The sequence below is a fragment of the Homo sapiens genome, chromosome 17 (genome assembly GCF_000001405.40).
Source record: "Homo sapiens chromosome 17, GRCh38.p14 Primary Assembly".
Lineage (NCBI taxonomy): Eukaryota > Metazoa > Chordata > Mammalia > Primates > Hominidae > Homo > Homo sapiens.
This window is the reverse complement of record NC_000017.11, coordinates 50,798,362-50,805,661: the sequence shown is the minus strand read 5'-3', so window position 1 is coordinate 50,805,661 and position 7,300 is coordinate 50,798,362. Positions and strand designations below refer to the sequence as shown.

Below are 7,300 nucleotides of genomic sequence, written 5' to 3'. Positions count from 1 at the left end.
CCCTCCTCTGTCCAGCCAGGACTTCTGCGTGTGCTGAACTGGCTATTGACACTTCCTAGGTAGATTCCCCAGTGTCTGTCTGACCAGCAACCCTCCTCACCTCCTCCTCAGAACTTATTGTGGAATCAGAAAGTATAAGATTTCCCCTTGGGGACGAGTAGTACAGAATGAGTCCAGGTGTGGTGGCTCACACCTGTAATCCCAGCACTTTGGGAGGCTGAGGCAGGGGATCACTGGAGGTCAGGAGTTCAAGACCAGCCTGGCCAACATGGTGAAACCCTGTCTCTACTAAAAATACAAAAGTTAGCTGGTCATGGTGGTGTGCGCCTGTAGTCCCAGCTACTCAGGAGGCTGAGGCAGAATTGCTTGAATCTGGGGGGTGGAGATTGCAGTGAGCCGAAATCACACCACTGCACTCTAGCCTGGATGACAGGGCAAAACTCTGTCCAGACTCTGTCTAAAAAATAAAAAAAAAAACTGTAGGGCACGGTGGCTCACGCCTGTAATCCCACCACTTTGGAAGGCCAAGGCGGGCAGATCACCTGAGGTCGAGAGTTCAAGACCAGCCTGGCCAACATGGAGAAACCCCATCTCTACTAAAAATACAAAAGTAGCCAGGTGTGGTGGTGCATGCCCGTAATCCCAGCTACTTGGGAGGCCGAGGCAGGAGAATCGCTTGAATCCGGGAGGTGGAGGTGGAGGTTGCGGTGAGCTGAGATTGCGCCATCACACTCCAGCATAGGCAACAAGAGTGAAACTCTGTCTCAAAAAAAAAGTACAGAATGACAATTATGAAAATCAATTTTGTTTAATCTTTTCTAAAATGGAACAATGAACCAAGCAATTTCCTGGGCCCAAAAAAAGAAGCAGTATTGCGGTTATTAAAATAGTGTTTACTTTGTGCTGATGGGAAAAGATGTGAAATATTAATGACTCCACGGAGCCCCGATTATGTGACTCATTAGGCAAAGGCCCTATGTGCAATTAAAGTAGACTCTTCAGTGTCTATCTTAAGTGACTTTGTGTTTTGTCCAGCCACTCCATACACAAGGATGAGTGGCCAGGTGCAGAGGCTCATGCTTGTAATCCCAGCACTTTGGAAGGCCGAAGCAGGAGGATCGTGAAGCCTAGGAGTTCGAGACCAGCCTGGGCAACATAGTGGGACCCTCATCTCCATAAAAAAAAAACCAAAAAAGCAAAAACAACAAAAAAAAAAGAGAGAGAAAAAGATAATTTTTGTTGTTCTAATTTTTTTCTACAGAGCCTTTTTCATATAACTTTGTGCCTCGGGTTCCTCATCTGTACAATGGGATAATAGTACTTACTCCATAGGAATATTTTGAGGATTTACGACATATAACTCACTTAAAAACTGTGCCTGATGCCGGGCGTGGTGGCTCACGCCTGTAACCCCAGCACTTTAGGAGGCCAGGGAAGGCGAATCACTTGAGGTCAGGAGTTCATGACCAGCCTGGCCAACATGGTGAAACCCTGTCTCTACTAAAAATGCAAAAAATTAGCTGCAAATCGCTTAAACCTGGGAGGCGGAGCTTGCAATGAGCTGAGATCTGCCACTGCACTCTAGCTTGGGCGACAGAGCGAGACTCCATCTCAAAAACAAACAAACAAACAAAAAACTGTGCCTGAAAAGTAGGAACAATAAAATACATGAGTCATTATCATCCCCATTATCATCATTATAAATCTCGAGGATGTAGAACACACTTTAGGTAACTGAGTGAAATGAAGCTCGATAGCACAGGACACAGTCATGGTTCAGGACCTGCACCCACTGTCAATCACTTCAGCTGCAAATACGCTCAGCAAACTCACTGGGTTCTTGTCCTTTGTTTTGTGTTTCTTTTTCCCCATCTAAACTAGGTCCCTCTGTTTCACTTACTAAGCGAGACCAGTCTGCTGTTTTTCTCTGCAGATACTGGCTTTAAGAAAAAGGTGCCTCTGGCTGTTTCTGAGTTTTAATGAAAGCAAAGCTTCTTTCTTTCCCCAAGACTCTGCCGCAGGCTGCAGGGTGAGGCCTGTGATTCAAACTGAACTCGTTTCTCCCACCTAAAGAGGTTACAAGCCAGACCCTTTGGATCTCTTTCTCCGGACTTTTCTGCCAAGCTTGCCTCACAGGTGCAGGGGGCAGGACTGGAAGGAGGTGGCCTGGAGCTGCTGAAGCCCACAGGGGCTGGGTCTCTAACGGTGGCCTGTGAGGTCTTCAGAGACACCCCAGTTGCTGCCATTCTCAGCTTCCTGGTGTCCTTCCAATCGGGGCCTGTTGTTTGGTTTGGTTTTGACTCGTTTGAGTATACTTCCTAGGGTTCACCAGAGACACAAGAAACACCTACAGCCAGGCACGGTGGCTCCCGCCTCTAATCCCAGCATTTGGGATGCCAAGGTGGGCGGATCACTTGAGCCCTGGAGTTGGAGACCAGCCTGGGCAACATAGTGAGATCTTGTCTCTACTAAAAATAAAAAATTAGCCGAGTGTTGTGGCGCACGCCTGTGGTCCCAGCTACTTGGGAGGCTGAGGCAGGAGGATTGCTTGAGGATGGGAGGTTGAAGCTTCAGTGAGCCATGATTGTGCCACTGCACTCCAGCCTGGGCCACAGAGCAAGACCCTGTCTCAAAAAAACAAAACAAAACAAAAGTGAAACACTGTCACCTTTTTTCTTCCCCTCCTGCCTCACAGCCAGCCTCCTAGAGAAGGAGAAAGGCCTGGTAGCAGCATGAGCTGCCAGGAGCTGAGAAACCCATTTCTGTCTGTCCTCCTTGTTCCTGAGCCACTTCACCTAGGGGAGTGCTATTTGTGCTCTGGTGGGGACATAAAATTGCAACAGGAAGCCAGCACAGGTGACCTCTGCCCCTGTCTATTTGGAGAAAGTTGGTCCTAGCTGAGGTCAACACCCCAGGCACAATTACACCCACAGTAAAGCGGGGGGATGAACCACTTTACAGGGTCTGGCTCCCCAAGATGGTACATCAGCACATCAGAACATAATCATCCAAAGAAAATGACTTGGCTTGTGCCTCGTGAGAGTTCAAATTCCACATCAGCTCCAGGCTAGGGGGAGTCAAAACTGCTGAACAGATACAGAATAGCCGGAGATGAAAGCTAAGAGATCTCAGGACCTAACGGCTTTGTGGCTGTCTGTATTAGACAGGATCAGTTAATGCTGCAAGAAACAAGCCTGAGAATGATAATGGCACAAGCGTAGTGAGGTGGAATTCTCATTCACATAAACAGTCACAGGTGGGCCCAGTCCCTGGAGCTGGGGGAGGAGCTCTCTGCCACAGAGGTCTTCAATTACCCGGGATCTGTCACCTTCAACACATGGCTCCCAAGATCACTTGGGATGTTGACATCCAGCAATGAAAGGGGAAAGGGCATGAAGAACTGGTGAAGTGGGGAAGGCTTTTATAGTTACAGGCAGGCCTAGAAAAGCAGTCACATTTCATCAGACTGTTCCCTCCACTGAGATGGAACTCAATCTCACGGCCACATCTAACTGCAAGAGAAGCTGGGCATACAGTCTTGCTGTGTGCCCAGATGAAAAGAGAGCACCCAGCAATGCTTGTCACACCATCCAGCTGTGGCTGCTATAGATGTGAGGGTCAACTGTGTGCAGCATCTCTGCTCCCAAATCACGGAGCCATTGTGGCAGCCTCAGAGGATGACTGCTAGGGAACACTGGGCTGTCCTAGACCATCAACTCCACTAGCTGTACCCTCCTTCTCTCCAGAGATGGCCACCACTCAAAGCTTCACTCCTCAGAGGGCTACTACAGTCTACTGTGAATTACCCTCCAGGATTCTGGAGGCTCCTTCCATCATGGAGGACCCTGTCTAGCACTTGTGACCCTTGACCCTGACCTCAGACCGAGAGCCCATCTAGGGTCCCAGGGCTAAGGATTTCATTCCAGGTGAACCCCCTGGTACCTGCATCCCACTGCCTCCACGGTTCTACCACCACCCTGAGAGCAGAGAACCCCTCAAGAAGACAGCATCGGCCATTTGTTACCTTGACTCATGCCAACCCTAGCCACTGCCGCTCTCTCCATGAATGATCCAGCCACCTGAAGTCCAGTTCCTGGCCCAGGTTGGATAAGCATGGCCACCTGTCCACCACTTACCACCCAACAGCCAAGGACCAAAGAGAACTTCTCAGCCATATCTCCCAGGAGTTAGGACAACAGCAGGATGAAGCTGAAACAGCCTCGGGTTCAGGTCGTCCTGGCTTCACATCTCTTCTCTGCTACTGACTAGCAGAGCTTCTTGCTTAAGTCACTTACCTCTCTCTGAACCTCAGCACCCAGGCTATAATGCCCCTGTGCAGGACTCGATGAAATAGTGTGCACAAAGCCCTGGCTCAGTGCCTGGCGTGCAGTAGGCCATCAGCCGAGTGCTGTTATAATGGGGGCTCTTTGCTGCTACAATGCAGCACCTTAGACCCTGGGGGTAATGATTCACTCAGGCTTCCATCCAGGGTGAATGGTCCCAAAGCAGCTGCAAGCTGAAGCTCCTGCTCAGCCAGCAATGCCCAAGGGAACTTGATCAGGAGCAGCTCTTCCCCCTCCTCCTCCTCCTCCTCTTCCTCCTTCTCCTCTTCCTCCTCTTCCTCCTCCTCCTCTAAGAAGGCTGCTCCCCAGCCTTCATAACTGCTGTGCACAAGGAACAAGTTTCCAGCTGCCTGTCAGCCTGTGGCAAGCCCGCTGGCTTCGACCTCCTTCACGCTGCACTCACGGAGGCCACCTCCCAATCACCAAAGCCAATGATACATTCAGTTCTTGCATCACTTGACTTCTTGGCTGCATCTGATGCTACTGACAATCCCATCTTCCCTAACCATCCTCCGCCTGCCTTCTGAAGGCCACTTTCTATCTCTTCCAGCCACTTATACACTCTCTCTGACCAGCTCCTCTTCCCGGCCTTCCCTCCCCATGCTGACATTCCGAAAGGTGCGTCCTGGGCCACTTGTCTGCTCTGCGGGGTCATTCTCCCAGGTGGTCACACCACTGCCATGTGTTGGACCAATGACTTCCAAACAATTCCTGGCACCCCAGCAGCTTGCCCACTGCAGCCAGGATGATCCAATTCACAAATTGGATCAAGTCTTTACACGGCTTAAAACCCATCAGTGCCGTCCCGTGGCTCAGAAGATTAAACCCAAGCTCCCTGGTACAGACGCCGTGTCGTCTGACTCCTGCCTGTGTCCTTGGCCTCAGCGCTTGCCCTTCCTGGCATCGGGGCTCATCCCATTCCTGAGGGATGACTGGCACCCTCGGAGAGCCCCAGGGTCTCCAGGTCTCGGTTCCTTTGACTTGCATGCACTCTACCTGGAACATGTCCCCACTGGAGAATGCTCCCTGCCTCTCCAAACCAGATCCAGGGCCCTTCCCCAAGCCCCCTCCTCTGAGTGTGGCTGACCTCAGCATCTCTCCTGTTGTTTTGCTTTGGTCTCCCGGTCCGCATGCCCCTGCTATGTAATAAGTACTGGGTGAATGTTGGTGGAGCAAAGGAGGGAATTAATGACCAAGCCAGCCTGACTCTGAGGTGGGCTTGAGCTGACTCAGTGCTGTCTTAGGTCCTCCTGCTGGAAACCTGGCCCAGAGCTGAGCGGGCTTTGCACCCCTCCCTGACCCCAGCCTCACAGCCGCCTCCACCAGGGCCCAGTGGCTGGCCAGGGACTGTTGGTCAGGAAGCCCAGGCTGGAAACCTGGCTCCCTCCCTCCCTGCTAACACCTTGGAGCAGATCTGTGGGGAGAATTCTCCACTTGAAAGAAAAGCACCAGGTCTCCCCTCCTTCCCTGCCTTCCTGAGAGCCCCTGTCACCGCTGCATTCTTGCTGAGGCTGGAGGAGATTAACCGGAGGCTGGTGGCAGCAGCCGGTGCCCTAAGCTGCGTGCTGCGTGTTCCCAGCATGGCACCACTCACAAGCCGCCCTGGAAGGAAGGTTCTGGTGGTAGGAGCTGGATTTGGTCACCCAGGCATGGGCTGTGAAAGCCCCCACAGCTCCTGGCTCTGCCAGGTCGGCGGTTGCTGCAGGCCGGTGTGAGGGTGGGGATGCCACAGTCCAAGGGTGTTCAGGGTCAGAGCTTCTTAGGGAAAGGTAAATTACCCCACAGGGTGTTATGGGTAGGACCATGTTCCTATCACAAGATATGCTCAAGACCTAACCCCTAGTATCTCAGAATGTGACGTATTTGAAAATAGGATTGTTGCAGATGAAATTAGCAAAGGTGAGGTCATACTGGAGTGTAGGGTGGGTTCTTAATCCAATAGGACTAGTGTCCTTATGAAAGAAGAGAAGAGACAGAGAGACAGACATATGCTCCTGCTCTGTGTGAAAGAAAGAAGACGCGGAGACTTCGGGGAGGCAGCCGCAAGTCTGGGCCTGCCAGGAGGACTGGCAACCACCGGAAGCCAGAAAAGAGGCAAGAAGTCTTCCCCCTCCAGGCTTGGAGGGAGCAGGCCCGTCCACACCTGAATTCCAGACTCCTGGCCTCCAGAACCGTGAAGCAATACCCTTCTGTTGTTTGCAGCTGCCTAGTGTGTGGTACTTAGTTAAGGCAGCTCTAGAAGCAAATACACAGGGCCTCAGACGGGGAGGCCTCAGATTAGAGGGAAATGCCTCTGACTCCCTATGGTGATTGAGACACTGTCATATTCGTTCCTGTCCCCAGCCTTGCTTGTGAGGCCAAGAAAAGCAAAGGCTGAGTAATGACAATGCTAGGCAGAGGGAAGTCTAGCTAACGTCAGGCCTCCTGCTCTCTCCTGATCCAGGGGTAGAAGGAAACAGACCGTGGGCTGCTGGATGAGGCGTCTCCCCACTCCTGGGTCCACCACTCCGCTCCGGCCACTCAGGGCTGCCTGACAGCTCGGGCTTCCGCCTGAGCTCACCCCTGTCTCTGCCACGTCCTGAGCAAGGCCCTGCCTCTCTCCCAGCCTTGGGTTCTCCCTAGCCCTGAGGCTCCCATGGCCATGCCACCTGCTGAGCCCAGACATCCCCTCCTCCCTGAACCCTCCCCTGACCCCTTCCCTAGACGCCTTCTGTGTTGGGGATGCCTTGGGACGGCTGAAGAGGCCCCGTGCTGAACCGCTAAGGGAACAGGACAGTCAGACACACCTGCCTTCAAATTCAGGCGTCACACTTGTAGCTGTGTGACTCCAAGCAAGTTCTACATGGCATCTATTTCCTCCTTTGTAAGGTAGTGATCCCAGCAGGGTTGTGGGAGGCAGCTAGTCAAGGTTGTAAGAGACTCTGCAAGGCCGAGGCTCTTTCCCTGGGTCCCACGGG

At 52.3% G+C, this 7,300-nt stretch overlaps 3 annotated features.

Annotated features, from left to right (window-relative positions):
• Window positions 5,426-5,975: an enhancer, noted in NCBI's record as "H3K4me1 hESC enhancer chr17:48877048-48877597 (GRCh37/hg19 assembly coordinates)". NCBI's record gives its function as "activates a minimal SCP1, AML or CMV promoter by ChIP-STARR-seq in naive H9 embryonic stem cells {active_cell/tissue: H9 hESC(naive)}" and the evidence as "EXISTENCE:reporter gene assay evidence [ECO:0000049][PMID:30033119]".
• Window positions 5,976-6,526: an enhancer, noted in NCBI's record as "H3K27ac-H3K4me1 hESC enhancer chr17:48876497-48877047 (GRCh37/hg19 assembly coordinates)". NCBI's record gives its function as "activates a minimal SCP1, AML or CMV promoter by ChIP-STARR-seq in primed H9 embryonic stem cells {active_cell/tissue: H9 hESC(primed)}" and the evidence as "EXISTENCE:reporter gene assay evidence [ECO:0000049][PMID:30033119]".
• Window positions 6,527-7,077: an enhancer, noted in NCBI's record as "H3K27ac-H3K4me1 hESC enhancer chr17:48875946-48876496 (GRCh37/hg19 assembly coordinates)". NCBI's record gives its function as "activates a minimal SCP1, AML or CMV promoter by ChIP-STARR-seq in primed H9 embryonic stem cells {active_cell/tissue: H9 hESC(primed)}" and the evidence as "EXISTENCE:reporter gene assay evidence [ECO:0000049][PMID:30033119]".